Source organism: Homo sapiens, chromosome 10 (assembly GCF_000001405.40).
Source record: "Homo sapiens chromosome 10, GRCh38.p14 Primary Assembly".
Taxonomy (NCBI): domain Eukaryota; kingdom Metazoa; phylum Chordata; class Mammalia; order Primates; family Hominidae; genus Homo; species Homo sapiens.
Window position 1 is genome coordinate 74,651,831 of NC_000010.11, and position 21,583 is coordinate 74,673,413.

The 21,583-nt window shown below is 40.1% G+C and overlaps 1 protein-coding gene and 1 pseudogene across 11 annotated transcripts in view, besides 1 other annotated feature; both read left to right on the forward strand.

Moving 5' to 3' along the window:
* The window catches only part of ADK (adenosine kinase), a 558,070-nt gene that overhangs the window by 500,610 nt on the left and 35,877 nt on the right, over nucleotides 1-21,583 (forward strand). For all 11 annotated transcript variants that reach the window (NM_006721.4, NM_001369123.1, NM_001202450.2 and 8 more), the window contains one exon: nucleotides 18,353-18,439. In NM_006721.4, coding sequence (NP_006712.2) covers nucleotides 18,353-18,439 — 87 coding nt within the window. The remainder of the gene's footprint in view (nucleotides 1-18,352; nucleotides 18,440-21,583) is intronic.
* Nucleotides 3,029-3,529: an enhancer, noted in NCBI's record as "H3K27ac hESC enhancer chr10:76414617-76415117 (GRCh37/hg19 assembly coordinates)". NCBI's record gives its function as "activates a minimal SCP1, AML or CMV promoter by ChIP-STARR-seq in naive H9 embryonic stem cells {active_cell/tissue: H9 hESC(naive)}" and the evidence as "EXISTENCE:reporter gene assay evidence [ECO:0000049][PMID:30033119]".
* On the forward strand, nucleotides 3,121-4,497 carry POLR3DP1 (RNA polymerase III subunit D pseudogene 1; annotated as a pseudogene).

A 21,583-nucleotide genomic window follows, 5' to 3' on the forward strand; every position in this document is an offset into this window, starting at 1 on the left:
TAACCACATGAATGAATGTCAAAAACATTATGCTAAAAAAAATGTGCTGAGGTAAGAAGCCAGATATAAAAGAACATATACTGTATGATTACATTTATTTGAATTTAGAACAGGCACTATTAATTTACAGTGATAGAAATCAGATCAGTAGCTTTTTGGTTTTTGTTTTATTGAGAAGGAATTTGGCTATGAAGGGATATGAAGGAACTTTCTTTCTTTCTTTTTTTTTTTTTTTGAGACAGAGTATAGATCTTGTCACTATGCTAGTAGCGCCATCTTGGCTCAACTGCAACCTCTGCCTCCTCAGTTCAAGCAATTCTCCTGCCTCAGCCTCCCGAGTACCTGGGATTACAGGTGCCCACCACCACGCCCAACTAATATTTTTGTATTTTTAGTGGAGACAGGGTTCCACCATGTTGGCCAGGCTGGTCTCGAACTCTTGACCTCAGGTGATCCACCCACCTTGGCCTCCCAAAGTGCTGAGATAACAGGTATGAGCCAGCACACCTGGCCAGGAACTTTCTTAGATGAAAATATTCATAGCAGCATTACCCAATAGAACTTTCTACAGAACTATCAACATAACAATTGTATTTTCAATCTCTGCTTAGGAAAAATAACCAAACAGCAATTTAAAGATAGCCTGTAGGCCAGGTGTGGTGGCTCATACCTGTAATCCCAGCATTTTGGGAGGCCAAGGTGGGCAGATCACTTGAGGTCTGGAGTTCAAGACCAGCCTGGCCAACATGGTGAAACTCCGTCTCTGCTCAAAATCAAAAATTAGCCGGCTGTAGTGGTGGGCGCCTATAATCCAAGCTACTTGGGAGGCTGAGGCAGGAGAATCACTTGAACCTGGGAGGCAGAGGTTGCAGTGAACTGAGATCGCACCACTGCACTCCAGCCTGGGCGATACGGCGAGACTTAGTATCAAAAAGAAAAAAAAAAAGCCTAATAGTAAGATGGAACCCAGTATGCTAGTATATATTTAACAGTCAGCTCATAGCAAACCAAGCCCTAGTTTGTTGTGTTTTCTAATTTCTATGGTGTAAATACTCTCACCATGACTCACCATTCAAACTACCAAGATGAAGGCATTGAATGGTGAGTTGGAAAGAGAAATGTACGATCAATTCATAAGCTGGTGTGAACTCAGTTTCTGAACTGCTTCTACCCGTCACTATTATTGACGGACTGAATTTTCTTGGTTTTAGTTTAGTTCTTTAGATTATTCAATCTTTCCCAGAGCTGTGTCTTTGCCCAGAGACTTTATTGAACCTCAGAGATGTCTGGCTAGGCTGTAGCTCAACTTTAGATCCTTTAACAGAAGGAAGAACACGAGGGCTGAGTGCGGTGGCTCAGGCCTGTAATCCTAGCACTTTGGGAGGCTGAGGTGGGCAGATCACTTGAGGTCAGGAGTTCAAGACCAGCCTGGCCAACATGATGAAACCCTATATCTACTAAAAATACAAAAACTAGTTGGGCTTGGTGGTGGGCACTTTTAATCCCAGCTACACGGGAGGGTAAGGCAGGAGAATTGCTTGAACCCAGGAGGCAGAGGTTGCAGTGAGCCGAGATCATGCCATTGCTGTCCAGCCTGGGTGACAGAGCAAGACTCCATCTCAAAAATAATAATAATAAGGAATAACATGCGTATGATCCTTAAAATATTTCTGCAACTTTTTTTTTCCCCTGGTGCTGCAGCTTCTATTCGTAAAGAATGGTGAGGAACACAACCAAGCTTTAAAATCAGTGTACTTGAGAGGTTTTGTTGTTGTTGTTTTTACAGGTAATTAACCATATGTTACACATTTTAATCTGCTTTTAAGTGCAAGAGAGATTGGCAAATGACTTAATAAAGAAATGACTTCTGCTTAAATTGGATAAAATGGTTGTTTACTGGTGTTTATTGCTGTATTCCAAGTAGACAAGTAATCTGTGAATCCAGTTTAGTTTATTGGACAATAAATGGTACTCAGAACTTTTATCAGTGTTTGATTGTCAGGATGCCCATTGAAATTGACTTCATACTTAGGGAACTTTAATTTTATTGTACAGTATGCACTGTTAAAAAAAATATCCTTGTCTTTCAGTATAAACCTATGACATTGCCTTGTGGCATTATCATCCCTGAGATGCTTTCTTGCTCTAAGATTTCTTCTATGTCATAAAGAAAAAAGGAACTTTTGGTTCCTTCATATCTAATGCAGTTTTTTCTTTTGTAAACTCTAAATATTTTCCATTGCCACCATCAACAATTCAAATAACAATCTTACTGATGGAAAGTCCATGATTAGAAATAGCTGCTTCTTCAAAAATAAAGAACTTTGTATGTACCTATCCATTTTGAAAATCTTAACCATTGTGCTCAGAAGGAGAGATATGATTTTAAGAAGGGTCACATTTAGAATACCAATAATGTCCTACTCCTGAAATAATTGGGACCAGGCCGCTAAAAAGAAAGCACCTGATGTTTGGCCTTTCAGTATTTTCTATAACTATGACGCCTTGGTCCAAATTATCTAATAAATGCTTCTTCCTATTCTCCCGCCCTAAGAGTCCATGGTCTCTTTATAAAGAAGAATCATATACATACAGATATTACTTGAATTTATATGGCATCCTCATGAGGTGAATCCCACCTATGTCACTTAGGATTCATTTGATTGCCCTGGTTTGATCCAATTCAAGTATTAATTCAGGCCAGGTGCAATGGCACATGCCTATAATCCCAGCACTTTGGGAGGCCGAGGTGGGCAGATCACTTCAGTTCAGGAGTTCGAGGCTAGCCTGGCCAACATGGGGAAACCCCCGTCTCTACTAAAGATACAAAAATTAGCCGGGTGTGGTGGCAGGCACCTGTAGTTCCAGCAACTTGGGAGGCTGAGGCAGGAGGATTGCTTGAACCCGGGAGGCAGAGGTTGCAGTGAGTAAGCCAAGATTGTGCCACTGCACTCCAGCCTGGGTGACAAGAGTGAGACCCTGTCTCAATAGAAAAAAAAAAAAAAGGCCAATATGGGCCCAGGGCCTGCCATTCAGACTTCCGCTTGTGGCAGAGACCAAGGGATGGCAGCAGGTTAGTCGCAGGTGAAGTCATAACAAGCGGTGTGGAGCCGCACCTGGGCAACATGTCGGAAGGAAATGCAGTGAGCGAACCCAGCACTCTGCAAGGGCCCCGACCCCTCCTGACTGGGGCCCAGGAGCTCAGCAGGCAGCGACTGGCACCCCTTCACCCCGGGCCGCCTTCCCTTCATCCGCTCTGGGAACCTTACCCTGGGGGTTGAGGTTGGGGGTCAAGAAGAAAACCTTCACCCCAAATATCATCAGTCAGAAGAACCCAAGGAAGAAGTAACCGTCAAGAAGGAGAAACATGAAAGGGACAGAGATGGACAGAGACAGGTGCATGGACAGGGATGAGGCCACCCAGAAGTGATCCAGTCTCACTCCATCTTTGAGAAGGGCCCAGCTGAAATGATGAAGAAAAAAGGAACTGGAATAAGAAAGTGAATGTGTCAGACATGGGACCTTCTCATATCGTCCACATCAAAAAAGAGAAGAAAGAGTTGGACGAAGACACGAAACATCTCACCATGCTGTAGAAGGACGATTTCATTGATGACCCTGGGCTGAGGAATGACACTCGCAACATGCCTGTGCAGCTGCCACTGGCTCACTCAGGGTGGCTTTTTAAGGAAGAAAACAATGAACCAGATGTTAAACCTTGGCTGGCTGGCCCCAAGAAAGAGGTGGGGGTACCTACTGTGAAACTGAAAGAGGAGCTACAAGATGAGGAGGAGGCCAAGATAAAGGCTCCTTCCAGAGCAGCCAGGAAGACCCCCGGGCCTCCCGAAGGACATATCCGTGGCAGAGCTGCCCAGGGAGCTGAGCCTCACCAAGGAGGAGGAATTGCTGTTCCTCCAGTTGCCAGACACCCTCCCTGGCCACCCACCTATCCAGGACATCAAGCCCATCAAGGCAGAGGTACAGGGCAAGGACAGAGAGGTGGTACTCATCAAGCAGGAGAACGACCAGGAAGCCAGGCTGGCAAAGAATGCTTCTACCCTAGCTGACCTGACAGAGGGTCAGGTTGGCAAGCTGCCCATCTGCAAGTCCGAAAGGGTGCAACTCCTCCTGGGCAAGGTGACTCTGGACGTGACCATGGGAACCGCCTGCTCTTTCCTGCAGGAGCTGGTGTCTGTGGGCCTTGGAGAGAGTAGGACTGGGGAGATGATAGACCTGGGACATGTGAAGCACAAACTTCTGTGTTCCCCCGATTTTGAATCCCTCTTGGATCACAAACACTGGTAAAATGATCAGATGGAGGAGGATGGCGGCTGCTGTCTGCTCCAGACATTTTGTTCTCGAATCTCTGCAACCCAGGAGAGGCCAGTTGAGCCCACCCACTCCAGCCTTTGGCAGCCATTGTCCCAGTTTCCCCCAGGGCCCACAGGGCTTCCTCCCACAGCAGCTGTGAATGGCACAGTTACCTTCCCACAGTGTGAAGATGGTACATCCTTGCTGCTGGGGACTTGTCCATGCTATTTGTTTTTGTATTTATATTTTGTATTTTGTCTTAATCTCTTCAACTGACTGCATCCTCCCAAGGGAGGAGGGAGGATCTGTGGGAAGGTGCAGGCTTTTGGTGGCTGTTGGGCCGTCAGGCAGCAAGTGTGAGGACTGCAGCTTTTGCTGGTGCTCCCTTCTTCCTCCCAGAGGCAGTATAGGAGAGAGAGCAAGGATTGAGTCTGAGACTTAAGCATGGGGTCCCAACTCATCAGTTCCTGGTTCTGTATCCTTGCGCAAACTACCTAACCTTTCTGAGCCTCCTGTTCCTCATCTGACAAAAATGGGGATGATACCTACTTCACAGGGTTGACGTGAGGATTACATGGGATATTATAGATGAAAACTCCTTGCACAAGGCCAGAACCAGTAGCCACTCAATAAATGTTAATTTCCTTTTAAGTAAATAAATAAATAATCAAATGTTAATTCAAAGTCCCACATGAGAGCGTTCTGTGTTTTGTGGTGTTTGTTTTGTTTTGTTTTAGAGACAGGGTCTCATTCTTTCACCTAGGCTGGGGTGCGGTGGCACAATCACAGCTCACTGCATCCTCGAATTCCTGGACTCAAAGGATCCTCCTGCCTCAGCCTCCTGAGTAGCTGGAACTATAGACATGTGCTACCATACCTAGCTAGTTTTTTTTTTTTTTTAATCTGTAGACTGCCTCTGTGGACAGTTTTTCAAATTTTTTGTAGAAACAGGGCCATGCTTTGTTGCCCAGACTGGTCTTGAGCTCCTGGCCTCGAGTGTTCCTCCCACCTTGGCTGAGACGACAGGTGTGAGCCACTGCACGTGGTCAGCCTTCTATCTTTAAACAGGATCTGAATCTAGATTCATCAACTCATAAATATGTTCTCATTTTTAAATGATGGAATGATGGAAAGTGAAAGCACCAATCAAATCATATTTTCATTATTTCCAGAATGTGTTCAGCACAGTTAGGTCTGGAAAGGTTTTTGGGAAAGGTTGTGCAAGGTTGAATTTATTCACTGTTGAAATAGCACCTCTAAATTTCAAGCAATTGTATGATTTACTTTTATACAAGTGTCAGAAATGCTAAATTATTAAATCCCAATGGCAGGATCACTGACAACTAGAAACTTGAGTTTATTTGCTTCCGTGGTTTACTAAACTAAGCTAGAGAAATATAGTACAGTTATTTACTACTTAAGATCAGCCAGAAAATGTATAGTGAGTTCATACTGTACTAGATTCTGGGAGATAATCAAATGTAAAACATATACCAGTCTCAAGGAAGTTAAAATCTAGTAGGAATAATCACTATATTCAGCAATAATTGTTAATTGAGCACCTACTCTGTACTAGATACAGTACTAAGAGCTGGGAATAAGATTAAGTCATAATTCCTACCTATAAGGAGTTCAAAGTTTAGTTGAGAAGACATTTGTAAAGAAGTAATTGTAACTATGATAGATACCTTCCTGGAAGTATGTGAAGGTTATAAGTGATGGCATAAAAGAGAATAATCAGTTCTGCTTGGAGGCCAAGGACTATAGCCAAGAAGACATGCCTTATTTGGAACTAAGAGTGAAAGACAATTTGAAATGTAGACTTGATACATACACAAGAATAAAAGATCATGGCACATTTGGGACATCATGAGTATGACCAAAGAGTAACTGACTAAAGTTACTCTTTTGGTCAGGGAAAGATAAAGTTTGAACAATAGGCTGGATTCATATCCTAGAGTTAAGAGTTCATTCAATAGAGAACCATTGAAGAGTTTTTAACAGGGGAATAACATCAGATTTGTATTCATGAAAAAGTACTCTGTTTATTCATCATATATTTATTGAGCCCCTATAATATACCAGGCATAGTTCTGGATGCTAGCAATCATCAGAAAAAAATATTGCCTTTTCTATAGCTCCTCTTACCTAGGCAGCCAAGTTTTGTGCCCTGAGCCCTAGCTCCTTTCCTGTGCTCAGCTGAGTGAATCAGGGTTAGGAACATAACCAAAGGTAGACAGTCCATAGATGGTCAGTGAGCTATGAGCTAAAACAGCAGAGGAAATCAGTTTTTTGTCTGTCTGTTTTTGATGTAGGATCTCCCTCTGTCACCCAGGCTGGAGTGCAGTGGTGCTATCATGGCTCACTACAGCCCCAACCTCCTGGGCTCAAGCAATCCACCCACCTTAGTTAGCCTCCCAAGTAACTGGGACTACAGGCACGCACCCCCATGCCCGGCTGGCTTTTAATTTTTTTTGTAGAGACAGCTTGTTGTGCAGGCTGGTCTCAAACTCCTGGGCTCAAGCGATTCTCCTGTCTCAGCCTCCCAAGGCTCTGGGATTACAGGCATAAATCACCATGCCTGGCTGGAAACCAGTTCTTCAGATAAGAGAGTGCAGCATGTAACATTTAAAGAAGTAGAGACCAGGTTGACATGAACAGCTTTATAGTAAGATTAAAGTGATATGCTTCATTTAGTGAACCTATTAAAGATAACAGAAACCTCGTTAATTCATTATACACACACACACACACACATATATACACGTGCATATATATATGTGTATATATATAGTCAGGTGCAGTGGCCCACACTTGTAATCCCAGTACTTCGGGAAGCCAAGGTGGGAGGATCACTTGAGCCTAGAAGTTTGAAACCAGCCTAGGCAACATAGGGAGGCCCATCTCTATAAAAAAAATAAAAATAAATTAGCTGGGCATGGTGGCGCATGCCTGTGGTCCCAGCTACTTGGAAGGCTGAGGCAGGAAGATCACTTCAGCCCAGAGCTCAAGGCTGCAGTGAGCTGTGATGGCACCACTGCACCCCAGCCTGGGTGACAGAGAGAGATCCTGTCTCTAAAAAATTTCTTAAATGCAGTCACACACACTAAACAAAGGGGAAATAAGGTTTTAGAGCAGTAATTCCATCTATCATTGTTTTCTTGGTCATTTTTCCATGGAAAACTATTTTTGTATTCAAAGTCAACACTCATTCTCTTATATGTTTACATTCAGAACTGAAGACCTTAACTGGAATTAACTTAAAACATTTGTAGAAAATCAGATGCAAACATGAACAAACTAAGAGATTTTACCACAAACAATGATGTAGAGGCAGGTAGTCTGCAAGGTCAGAACCATGCCTTCAGAAGCAGCAATTTTAAGTGAGACCTGAATCTCCTATACTCAAAGGTCTTGCATTAGTCAGGATTCTCTAGAGGGATAGAACTAATAGGATAGATATGTATCTATATAAATGGGAGTTTATTAAGTAGTATTAACTCACACAATCACAAGGTCCCACAATAGACCACCTACAAGCTAGGAGCAAGGAAGACAGTCCGAGTCTCAAAGCTGAAGAAAGTCTGACGTTCCAGGGCAGGAAGCATCCAGCGCAGGAGAAAGTTGTAGGCTGGGAGGGTAAGCCAGTCTGGCCTTCTCATGTTTTTCTGCCTGCTTTATATTCTCTGGCAGCTGATTAGATGGTGCCCACCAAGATTAAGGGTGGGTCTGCCTTCCCCAGCCCACTGACTTTGGCAACACCCTCACAGACACACCCAGGATCAATACTTTGCATCCTTCAATCCAATCAAGTTGACCCTCAGTATTAACCATCACAAGTTTCATTTCAAGATTAATAATATCCTTGTCCATTTAATCATAAAAAGGAATGCTTATTATGTGCCAACTTTTCCAAGTGCTTTATATGTATTAACTAATTTACTCCTCAGAAAAATCCTGTAAGTACCTGCAAATGCTATTATTGTTCCTTTTTTCTTTCTTTCTGAGACAACATCTGGCTCTATCACCCAGGCTGGAGTGCAGCAGCACTATCTCGGCTCACTGCAATTTCCGCCTCCTGGACTCAAACCATCCTCCCACCTCAGCCTCCCGAATAGCTGGGGCTACAGGAATGCACCACCACACCTGGCTAGTTTTTTTGTATTTTTTTGTAGAGATGGAGTTTCGCCATGCTACCCAGGCTGGTCTCGAACTTATTAGCTGAAACAATCTGCCCATCTCAGCCTCCCAAAATGCTGGGGTTACAGACACGAGCCACCGTGTCTAGCCTCCTATTTTAAATATGAGAAAATTGGCCTGGCACAGTGGCTCATGCCTGTAATCCCAACACTTTGGGAGGCCAAGTTGGGAGGATTACTTGAGCCTAGGAGTTTGAGACCAGCCTGGGCAACATGACGAAAACTCTTCTCTACAAAGAATCAGCTGGGCATGGTGGCATGCGCCTGTAATCCCAGCTACCTGGGAGTCTGAGATAGGAGGATCACTTGAGCCAGGGAAGTTGAGGTTGCAGTGAGCCGAGATTGCACCACTGCACTCCAGCCAGGGTGACAAAGTGAGACCCTGTCTCAAAAAAAAAAAAAAAAAAAAGAGGCCAGGCGCAGTGGCTCATGCCTGTAATCCCAGCACTTTGGGAGGCCAAGGCAGGTGGATCATGAGGTCAGGGGTTCGAGACCAGCCTGGCCAATATGGTGAAACCCCATCCCTACTAAAAATACAAAAATTAGCTGGGCGTGGTGGCACGCACCTGCTGTCCCAGCTACTCAGGAGGCTGAGGCAGAAGAATCGCTTGAACTCAGGAGGCGGAGGTTGCAGTGAGCTGAGATTGTGTAACTGCACTCCAGCCTGGGTGACAGAGCAAGACTCTGTCTCAAAGAAAAAAAAAAGGAAAAAGGAGAATTTAATCTGATTACCAGATTGTAAATGGCAAATCTGGAATGTGAACCCAAGCAGTCTGACTTATGCACTTAACCACAGTTATACTCCCTCTACTCTCTATGGAGAATTTATCAACTTAATTTAGTCAAATTTGGTTATCAGTACCAGGCTTAAGGGAATTTAAATGTCAGTTAACTGCTGTGTAACAATGAATCAAAATCTATTTATTCCATCATCACCTTTTTTTCAGGAAAATAGTAGCAACATTACTTGAATGACAACTTTGGGATCATATTTTACTACTTCTCTTTCATTCATTTGTCCCAAATTCCTGCCTTTGCCATGGGACTCTAGGCAGTTGACAAACTCTGTGAGCCTCAGAGTCATCATTTATAAAATAAGGTTAGTGATACCTTACTCATGTGAGAATTAGATGAGATAAAGTATACAAAGCATTTGATGCAGTGCTTTTTCACTCAGATAACTACCGTTGCATTCCATTGCCTGATGTATCAAATCCAAACTTTTGCGTGGCTTTCAAAGTCTCCCTAGAAATGGCTAGATCCCACCCATCTTGATTTATTTCTTGCCTTACTTGATATATAAACTTTCTTCTGTCTCTATTCCTCTTGGGACATACACACCTTTCTTTTCCTCTCTTTTTCATTATCCACATGTTTAAGACCTAGTTTAAGTTCAGTCTTCTCCGTGAAAGCATCTCCAGTTAAACTATATTGTTCTTTCCCTTTTTTGAACTCCTGTTGCAGTTATAATAGATGTTACATTGTGTGATATTTCACAAATTCTTTGATATATGCTAGGTTTCTCTTTCCATCTAGATTCTAAGCTCCTTGAGAAGATAGATCATGTCTTAATATTTTTCCTGTATCTCCCCCAGAGGATCTAACAGAGTATCATAACTATTGTTCTATGAGATCTAATGAGCTCACAGCTATTGTTCAACAAATACTTATTACCTGATTGAAGAAAATAAGCTCCTAAAAATACCTGATAATATTATATAGGTCTTTATATTGTCAGGGTGTTTTTATAACACTGTTAATACTTAATCCATATAATAGTCACAGAAAATAGGTAGAACAGATATTATCTTCATTTTTTAGGTAATAACACTGAGTTTAAATTACATTGTGGCTTGCCCAAGGATTCTTGGTAAGTAGCGTTATTGACCCCACCCTCAACCCCTGCCATTCCAGTCCATTGTCCGTTCTCTATCAGGCTGCCAAAATAATTTTCTTTTGAGACAGGGTGTTGCTCTGTCATGCAGGCTGGAGAGCAGTGGCACAATCATAGCTCACTGCATCCTCAACCACCTGGGCTCAAGCGATCCTCCCACCTCAGCCTACTGAGTAGCTGGGAATATAGATGTGCACCACCACATCCAGCTAATTTTTCCATTTTGGGTAGAGATGAAGTTTTGCCATGTCTCCCAGTCTGGTCTCAAACTCCTGGGCTCAACCAGTCCTCCCGCCTCAGCCTCCCAAAGTGCTGGGATTATAGACATGAGCCACTGTGCCCAGCAATATTTTCATATCAAAGATGAGATTGCATCACTCCCTTATTTAAAACTTTCCAACAGTTTCCCATTTTACATAGAATGAAATCCTGCAAAACCCCCACATTCAGTATACTCCAGGTACAGTGGCCTTCTTTAGCTTCAGCAGTCTTAGTTTGCCAAGCTTGTTGCTAGTCTGGGGCCTCTGCACTTGAATGTTCTACCCCTGGAACTTCACATGGCTTGTTCCTTCTTACCCTTGAAATCTCAACTCAAATATCACCTCCTCAGTGAGGAAGTAATACCTATGTAAATTAACTCCCCTCCCTTGTCACACTTCATCATATCATCCTGTTTTATTTTCTGTATGGCACCTATTAATATCTCAAATTAGGCCGGGCATGGTAGCGCATGCCTGTAATCCCAGCACTTTGGGAGGCCAAGGTGGGTGGATCATGGATCACTTGAGCTCACGATTTCAAGGCAAGCCTGGCCGACATGATGAAACCCTATCTCTACTAAAAGTACAAAAAGTTAGCTGGGCATAGTGGTGCACGCCTGTAATCCCAGCTAAGAGTAGCTGAGGCACAAGAATAGCCTGAACCCAGGAGGTGGAGGTTGAAGTGAGCCAAGACCACACCACTGTACCCCAGCCTATGCAACAGAGCAAGATGCTATCTCAAAAAAAAAAAATAATATATATATATATATATATGTATCTCAAATTAGCTTGTTTATATATTTGTTACTTGTGTATTGTCTATCCCCACTAGAATGTTGGCCTCATAAAAGCAGAGTTTTTATCCTATTCACATCTGTATTCCCAGTCCCTAATAAAGTACCTGACACATGGTAGAGTCTTAATAAATATTTATTAAATAAAATAGCTAAGCCCGAACTAGACTAAAACTATGGCTTTTTTGCTCCTAATCAAGTGTACTTCCCATGAACATTTAATTTTTCCTACTTTTTGTGGAAGCACTTATACCTTTGGAACTACAGTAAGAATTGATGTTCAGAATAATGACATTAAGATGTGCTGTAGGATTCTCTATTATCAAAGAAAAATTTTATTCAGTTCAATAAACTAAACTAATTAAAGCAGGGATGTCATGGCATATTATTATATTAACACATTTAGAAAGATTTCCAAATAAAAAGACTTTCTGCTTTTTCTTTAGTTAACTAGAAAATTAAATTAACTCAGAGCTCTTTATGCCTCAAAAGTCCTTGTTAATTAGGATTGTTCTATAAATCTCTATTATTAGCAGAGTTCATCATCTTTTTTATTGCCCTGTTTATTAGGGCAGTCTAAGCAGGGTGTCTTTGCTCATATCCTGATATGTGTGTCCTAGTGAAAAGAAAAGCATTTCCGGATTCTCATTTTTTCCCTATTCCTTGATATAGGCATATTTCATGCTGTTAGTATAACAATTTAGTTTCCTTCTATCAGTTCTCTCCATAAAGCTGGAATGATATTATTGACCTATGAAGCAAAATAATTAAATTTAAGGTCTGTTTAAAAGCATTAATGCTTTGTGACGTTGTTTATGATAATAGAAGATTGAAAATAGCCTAAAAGTCCATCAGTAAAGGATTGGTTAAATAAATTATACTATATCCATGTAGTGGACTATTATGCAGCAATAAAAAATAATGAGGACATTCTCTGTTTACCAATATAGAAAGATATCCAAGATTTTAAAATATGATCCAGAGTAGCCTAGATAGTATGATACCTTTTTTTGTGTGGGTGAGGGGAGGAAAAAATTAAGAATGTAGTTTATTGTATATGCATAGAAAAATTCTAGAAGGATATATAAGAAAGCAATAACAGTGATAACCAGATTGGGAAGTAGAAGGAGCAGAAACCAGCTGAAGGGCAGAGATGAGGAGAGGGAGATTTTATAGCATAGCTTTTCATATGTTTTATATTTTTGAATCATACGAATACATTACCTACTCAAAAAGTTAAATTAAAAACAAGCACAACTAAAAGTAATATGTGGCCAGGCATGGTGCCTCACGCCTGTAATCCCAGCACTTTGGGAGGCCAAGGTGGATGGATCACTTGAGGTCAGGAGTTCAAGACCAGTCTGGCCAACATGATGAAACTCCGTCTCTACTAAAAATACAAAAATTAGCCGGGCATGGTGGTACACACCTGTAGTCCCAGCTACTCAGGAGGCTGAGGAAGGATATCGCTTGAACCTGGGAGGTGAAGGTTGCAGTGAGCCAGGATCGCACCACTGCACTCCAGCCTGGGCGACGCAGCGAAACTCCATCTCAAAGAAAAAAAAGTAATATGTGATTCTGGACTGAATTCTATACCAGATGAAAAATATTGCTATAAAATACATTAGGACAATTAAGAAAATTGAACTGTGGACTATAGATTAGATTAAAATGTTGTTTTCTGTGTTTATCAACTATAACCTGGCTAACAGAATATCATCACTCTTAGGAAATACACACTGAAGTATTAAGGGGTAAAAGGCATAATATATACCACAAATGCTAAATAAAACTTTGAAAGAATAAATAATGTTATATATATGGGAGGAATGATCAACTAAATGTGGCAAAATGTTAAAAAATGGTAAATCTGGATAAATGTTGCATAGAAATTGTCTGTATTTTTCTGGGAACTTTTCTGTTAATTTAAAATTATTTCTAAATAGTTTTTTAAAAGAAACAAACAAAAACATTTTAATACTATGGATATTACCTTATTATAAGCAATGGCATAAGAATGTGAAGGGTTCTGGTTTTTACGTAGTCATACTTTTCACTTTCTGGAGAAGTTTTTACCATCACTTTTCTGTTTCTTCCATGCCTATTGATGCTGGGTCAGAGGCAGTGGCAGGGGTAGTGACTGAATTTTACCTTGAGGTTGAAAAACACCAGGCCAAGTGTGGTGACTCATGCCTGGTGTTTAGGAGGCTGAGGCAGGAGGATCACTTGAAGCCAAGGGCTCAAGACCAGTCTGGAGAACACAGCAAGACCCTGTCTCTACAAAAAAAATTTAAAAATTAGCCAGGCATGTTGGCTTGCACCTGTAGTCCTAGCTGCTCAGGAGGCTGAGGCAGGAGGATCCTTTTAGCCCAGGAGTTTGAGGCTACAGTGAACCATGATCACACCACTGCACTCCAGCCTGGGAGGCAGAGTGAGACCTTAGCTCTTGAGAGAGAGAGAGAGAGAGAGAGAGAGAGAGAGAGAGAGAGAGAGACAGACAGACAGAAGGAAAATGAAGAAAGGAAGGAAAAGGAAGAGAGAGAGAAAAGAAAGAAAGAAAAACACCTGCCTACCTGCCTTTCAACCTGCTGGATCACCTTCACTTGTATCTTCTCAACAGTTTAGGACATCAACAAAACAGTAACAATGTGGCATTTTAAAAATTCTTTGAACAAAATTTTCTAAGGATATCGTGAGGTTGTGTGTATCTAGTGCTAAAATATATAGTTAATTTAGTGGAGGTAAACCTGCAGAAACATTTAATTGTTTGGCATTGAGTAACTGGATTTGTATTATTGTTCAATTAGATATTGTGGCAATTGTAGAAACTTAACCATCTCTAATATAATTGACTTTCATTATTGATGCATGAAGATGTTTTTATTCTAATTAGATTGGCCTCTTAAGTGATTAGGTAGTGAAGCTTGTCTCATATTTAAGTGAAGAGTAAATTATTTGTATGAAGTGTCTAGAGGATGCCTAAAATTGATTATTTTGTATTCTAGGTAAGCTAAATTTTATTGTTTTGAATGAAGGCACTCTGCAAGTCTTATCTAATAAATGACACAAAACAAATCTGTTATCAACTGAATTGTTAGTGTTTGTTTCCTGTCTGCTTGGGGAAGCTTATGATTTAGTGGTTTTTTAGAAATCCAGAAAGTAGGAATAATAATTATTCCCAACCCTTTTCCTTCTCACTTTACAAAAAGTTTGTGAAGAATTGAGAAATAAATGCTACGAATAATCTTAAGCTCTTAGGTAGAAGTACTTGATCAAAACTAACCAGGTCATTTTTCTACAATTAGTGCAGAAAGCTAGTTTTTACTAATTGTTCCCACAGCTACTCCAGGCCCATTTCATGCCTAAGAAAACTAGGTCCCAGTGAGAGTCATGTGAGTGTTGTAGGCTTCATTGGTTGAATAACGTCCTTACCTGTAAGTGTATATTCAGATTTAGTGAATGTACTTCATGTGTTCATATAATAAATTTCCTAGAATAGCTATGGAGTAGGTCATGCCGGTAAAAACTGTTAGTTTTGTGACTTTTTTTTTTTTTTTTTTTTGAGACTGAGTCTCACTGTTGCCCAGGCTGAAGTGCAGTGACATGATCTCTGCTCACTGCAACCTCCGCCTCCCAGATTCAAGTGATTCTCGTGCCTCAGCCTCCCAGGTAGCTAGGATTACAGGCACATGCCACCATGCCCAACTAATTCTTGTATTTTTAATAGAGACAGGGTTTTACCATGTTGGCGAGTCTGGTCTCAAACTCCTGACCTCAAGTGATCCACCCGCCTCAGCCTCCCAAAGTGCTGGGATTACAGGCATGAGCCACTGTGCCCGGCCATGACTTTTTATAATAGATCTGTAAACCAGCTTAAGTCATTTGAAAATCAGAGCATACTGAAAATGTAATAAAACATAAATATTATTGAAGATTTTTCAGAGTCATCATTTTGAAAGGAGTTCTTGTAGTTCTTTAGATAATAGAAAATAATGAAAACTGAGTTTATGACGCATCTTTTGCATATATGATATTCTTATATACTTATCTGTACTGATAAGTATAAAAAGGTAGAAAATAATTCTACTTTGTATTTCAGGAAATTGAGCTTCATATGAAAACTAAGGATAAAGTATCTCAATGATGTGTGTGTGTGTATATATATATATATATCTCCAGAAAAAATCATTATAAAGCTGCATTTATGTAGAATTTTCAGCAATTTAGATAAATAAGTCATGATTTTTTTTTTTTTTTCCTCCGAGAGGGAGTCTCACTCTGTCGCCCAGGCTGGAGTGTAGTGGTGCGATCTTGGCTCGCTGCAACCTCCACTTCCTGGGTTTAAGCAATTCTCCTGCCTCAGCCTCCAGAGTAGCTGGGATTTCAGGCATGTGCCACCATGCCTGACAAATTTTTTTTTGTATTTTTAGTGGAGCCGGGATTTTACCATGTTGCCCAGGCTGGCTGAACTCCTGACCTCGTGATCTGCCCACCTCCACCTCCCAAAGTGCTAGGATTACAGATGTGAGCCACCATGCCTGACCAGAAGTCATGATTCTTAAGAATAAAATTCAAAATAATCTCTTCCGTTGTCGATTAGGTTCTGTTCATAAATAAATATTTATGCAGTCAAAAATGAATAATTGTTTTCAAACGAGGAGCTCAAGGAATTCTATGTAATTTTGGTTTACTTACTATTTATATATAATTATTTTCCAATCTGTAAGTCTAGTGATTAATTCTTATATTACCTAAAATGTTTTATAGACATGTTAGATTATTACATAATGTAAATGTATTGTAAATAGTAATGGTTTCATTAACTTGAGCTCATTTTACTTATTTAGTACCTGTTTGGTTTTAGTTTATAGTTGTTATTTCCCTGTATAGTGTAGCTTGTACTTGGAAGTAGTAAAACCAGATTTCTTTATAAGTATTTATGGTACAGACCTTTTCCTAAATCAGACTGCAGACCTTTCCTGAGTATTTCTAATAAAGTCTGCTTACATTTTTTTTTTGGCCTGCATAGTAGTTTGTGCTATATATACTCTCTAGAAAATGTAATTCTGGATATTTGTGCCATAACTTTCAATTAATCAAAATCTTGTCAACTGCCATATAGGCCCTCATGTTACAAAATGTGGAAAGTTCAGTTACTTAAAGAGTTTGGCTGGGCATTGTGGCTCACACCTAATCCCAGCACTTTGGGAGGCTGAGGCAGTCAGATCACTTGAGGTCAGGAGTTCAAGACGAGCCTGGCCAACATGGCAAAACCTATCTCTACTAAAAATACAAAAATTAGCTGGGCGTGATGGCACATGACTGTAATCCCAGCTACTTGGGAGGCTGAGGCAGGAGAATTACTTGAACCAGGAGGCGGAGGTTGCAGTGAGCTGAGATCACGCCACTGCACTCCAGCCTGGGCAATAGAATGAGACTCCGTCTCAAAGAAAAAAAGTTTAAGCCAGATGCAGTGGCTCATGCCTGTAATCCTAGCACTTTGGGAGACCAAGGCAGGAGGATTGCTCGAGCACAGGAGTTTGAAACCAGCTTGGGCAACAAAGTGAGACCCTGTCTCTACCCACCCGCCCCCCAAAAAAAAGCAAAAAATTGACCAGCTGTGGTGCTGCGTGTCTGTGGTCCCAACTACACAGGAGGCAGAGAGAATCCCTTGAGCCCAGGAGGTCAAGGTTGGAGTGTGTTATGATTATACAACTGCACTCCAGCCTGGATGACAGAGCAAGACCTAAAAAAAAAAAAAAGATTTTAAAAAAGATTGACTAAGTGAATGAGTCCTCTTCTTGAATATCAGTCATTCCAGGAGAGTATTTTCATTAACATATTTATGTCTCTTGTTGAAAGTATCCATTAAGAGCAGGTAGCAAAAGCTAGACAGAATATGCTTTTGAAGATTCTCTATGCTCTTTATTAATACCTTTCTTAAGTTTCTCAAGATCTCCTTTTGCCTCCCTCTTGATCTTAAACGAGACTGAAGTTTAAGAGTCTTTAGCCACTCTGTCCCCATAGGGATGCAAATTTATGATTTCAGAAGTTCCAGCCCCCAATAAGAAGCACTGTCCAATCGTTTGCAGATGTATCTTGTAAGCCAGATTTCATGACAGATAAGTCCATTCCACTGTCATGTGCCATGTTTAAAGTACTAAATTAGGTTACTCTGTAGTCAAAACAAGTAAGCCCTGGTCCAGACTACTCTAGGGCAAAATCCCGTTGCACTGTCCCTTTTGTTCTGCCCATGCATTCAGTTGTAGCTTTCCCTTTTGCCAGTTGACAGATAGTGACTTCTTTGCAAAACATAACCAGATTAGGTTATTTTTAGTAAACCAACTAAAATAAAAAATTCTTGACATTGGGAAGAAGTATTTTAACAGAATAATAGTAATGTTTTTATTGTGCCATTGTGATTTTCTATAAAGAAACACCCAATATTCATTATTTATATTTTTTTAAATTTACAACTCTTTAACTGTATCCAACATTTCACTGCCAGGAATATAGTCAGGCTCGAAGCTTTTTTAGAAACCCATGATCCAATCCATACCAACACTTCCTTTAGTTTATGGCTTCTGTTCATTTGCACTGTCCAGAAAGGTACTGCTACCATTTGTAGTCACTCCAAAAAAAAGTGTGAACTACCTAGGTATAACTCTCATAAGACGTATACAGCAGCATCTGTATGCTGAAAGTTACCAAAAAAGTATTACTTGCAGATGATTTTGCACCTTAGTTCCCAAGTGCCCCTGTACAGAATATGGAGCTTATGTCCTGTCTCTCTTTGAATGATGAGTGATGAAGGAGCTTCAGATGTTACTGGGTGAGCTTGTATTGAGTGTTACAAAGAGAAGTCATTCTGCCTTTCTTTGGCTCTAATTGCAGAAAGTGAAGTCACTGCTTTTGCTGTCTTGGATCAAGACCAGAAAGAAATTATTGATACCAATGGAGCTGGAGATGCATTTGTTGGAGGTACAGACTAATTTATTTCATTCTTACTTACAAGTAAAACATTTTAACCCTTGTTTCTACCATATAACCAAGATTTATTCATTTAGTAACTTCTAATTTCTTCTTTTAAATAATTAACTTCTGAAGTTCTTTCCATATACTTCTATCATTGTCAGTATTAGAGGGTTTTACCAGAGGAAAAATATGTGTTTGGAAAAGATAATTTGCTACTATGCTGTACCCCAGTCATTTTCACAAGATTAATTGTATCTGTCAGAAAATTGCATAAACAAACTGCATCAAGTACAGTATATAGTATATTCATAGCCCTTCAGGCTTAAATGTTAACACATTTTTGTTCTTTAAAACAAGTTGTGATGAATATTAAACAGTATGCTAATAACTAAGGATGATGTCTTTTGATGATAATCCTTTGGTTAAAACATCTGTTTCAAACACAATAGTGGTTGTTTGTTATACTAAAAAGGGTTAAATTTTTGCCTATTTTTGGCTCAATAAGAACTGGCAAATTTTATGTGAACTAATGATTTTGGTAATGAATACTCAAAAATAAAATCAAAACAATAGAAGACTTGGCTTGATGACTTAGATTGATCTAAAATCTGATTCAAAAATTCTTTTGATAAGTCTAAATTCCTTCTAGTTAAGTGTAGTTAATTAAGCTAGTTTATAGTCTCTAGAAAGCTTTCGCTTCCTCACAGATACCCCAAAGGGGTCTTTCCTGGTCTCTGTTTCTTTCTCTTAACATCAAGCCAGACCAGGTTAATTTAAAAAAAAAAAAAAAAAAGCAAGCAAGTGGAGCTGATGATTGTCCCTTTTTCTCTGGAGGATAATTTGAATCATGGGAAACTTATTTAAGTTTGTGTGATGGTTTTAACTTAATATTTTATTTTAATAGTCTTTTGCCAACATAAATTTTTATTTTTCTTTCTCTAAAACTATTCATGCCCAGTCTTTTTTTTTTTTCTCCCAGGCTGGTGTGCAGTGGTGCAATCTCAGCTCACTGCAACCTCCACCTCCCGGGTTCAAATGATTCTCCTGCCTCAGCCTCCCAAGCAGCTGGGACCACAGGTGCATGCCTCCACACCTGGCTGATTTTTGTACTTTTAGTGGCGACGGGGTTTCGCCATGTTGGGCAGGCTGGTCATGCCCAGTCTTAAATGAACTATTAACCATTAGGATGCCCCATGCCCTTGTTCTTTGGAAAGAGTCTGTACCACAGACAACATTCTACTTCACTGTTATGATTGTGTTTTTTATTTCCTTGCTCGGAAAGTCTTCATTATTGATAATATTAGAGTACTTAGCAGCCAATTTTCCTATTTTTTACTTTTTAGAGCTATAGATGTATGTAGGCTAAAATATTTTATTCTGAATTTAACCATATTCTGTAATACATTAAGAAAACCCTAGTGATTTCTTGGTTAGAAATTGGTCAAACCAGGAATCTTAGTCTAGAAACTTTTAAACTTATACACTGTATGTACATTACTTAAGTACTTTAAAATCTTTAAAACATGAAGTATTCTATTTCTTTGACATTCAGTGGGACACATAATGAGGCCATCATAGATTTGATGGTGACCTAAATAGCCACTACCTCTGGCCTTGGGTTACTTGGCTTCCTGGCCCGGCAACAACAGATTCTGTTACAGACACCTAACTATCTGTAATGCTACCGATACTAGGTGAGAACATGTAGACTTTTTGAGGGAGGGAGAGGCCATTCTTAGGATACTGAGGTAGGAACAGCTAGCTACCATTTGTATTGTGGTTACAACGATAAATAAACTACTTCATCAAAGCAATTGGGATTTTTTTGTTAGAGGATTTTTCAGCCTCTTTTTATCCTACTTCATTATATTTATTGTTGGGGTATAGTTAGGTAAGCAAAAAAGAAAAAGAGTATAGAACAGGGATCCACAGTCGTCTTTTTTAAAGGCCAAATAGTGACTATTTTAGGCTTTGCAAGTCATATACAGGCTGTATTGCATATCTTCTTGTTTTGTTTGCTTCCTTGTGTTTTGTTTTTTTACAGCACTTTTAATACGTAAAAACCTTTCCTAGCTCTCCAGCTGTACAAAAACATACCATAGGCCAGAGTTGGCCTACAGACTATAGTTTGCCAAACCCTCTTTAAATCATGGGCAGCTTCCTCACTTTATTCATTTCTAGCATTTCAAAGCTCCAGACACTGGATTTCACTATACATTGTTGAAATCAGAATAGAGAAAGTAGAAAGCAGGTAGAAACTAGGCAGGACTTTACTGGTAATACAATTAGATAGCCATTTTTCTCACTTTGAACCTACTCAGTTCCCAGGGTAATCAGATCCCAAAACACTGGGTCATGCAATGAGATGAACATCCTAATGTCAGTTTATTAATAGAATACTTATGTTGCCATCTTTAGCACATTCTGTCAAATGTGAATCAAGCTACAAAGTAATAGCAATAGATAACTTTTATACAGTACCTACTAACCAACCAATATCTTAAACACTTTATATATATATTAACTAATTTAGTGTTCACAAAAACTTCTTGGGGTAGATTATTTTTACCCCTATTTTACTGATGAAAAAAACAGAGACAAAGAAAGGTGAGATAATGTGCCCATAGTCTCATGGCTAGAGAGTAGCAGAGCCAGGATTCAAACCCAGAAAGTCTGGCTCCAAAGTCAGTGCTTTTACTCACCACACTAATACTGCTTCTCTAAACATTTATGTAAATCTCACCATTAGAACTGAGAACCACAGACCAGCCTTCCTGACAAAAGCTGGTTTTGCCAGAGAATCTTCCTGTTATCTGAGTAGATGACTTACTTTATTGAAAAGGATCTGTTGTAATCTGACAGGGTTCTGGGGACTCTAAGGTAAGATTGTTGAGGAAAAGAAAGAAAAACTGAAAGGGAAGAGAATCCAAGAACTGTAGTCCCTGGTGAGTTTCAACCAAGAGCTTTTTGCTAAGCAGTAGAATCGATTGCACTACAGAGATACAGAAAGCCAGATGATAAACTTGCTTGGTTAGCATGGGCTCCAAATAAGAGAGTTATATGAATCAGCTGTTTAATAGTGAAGCAGGATATTTCCCTAAGCCCTTCTCAGGCAGAAATTGCAGTGTGTGGGCGCAGGAACTAGCCAGC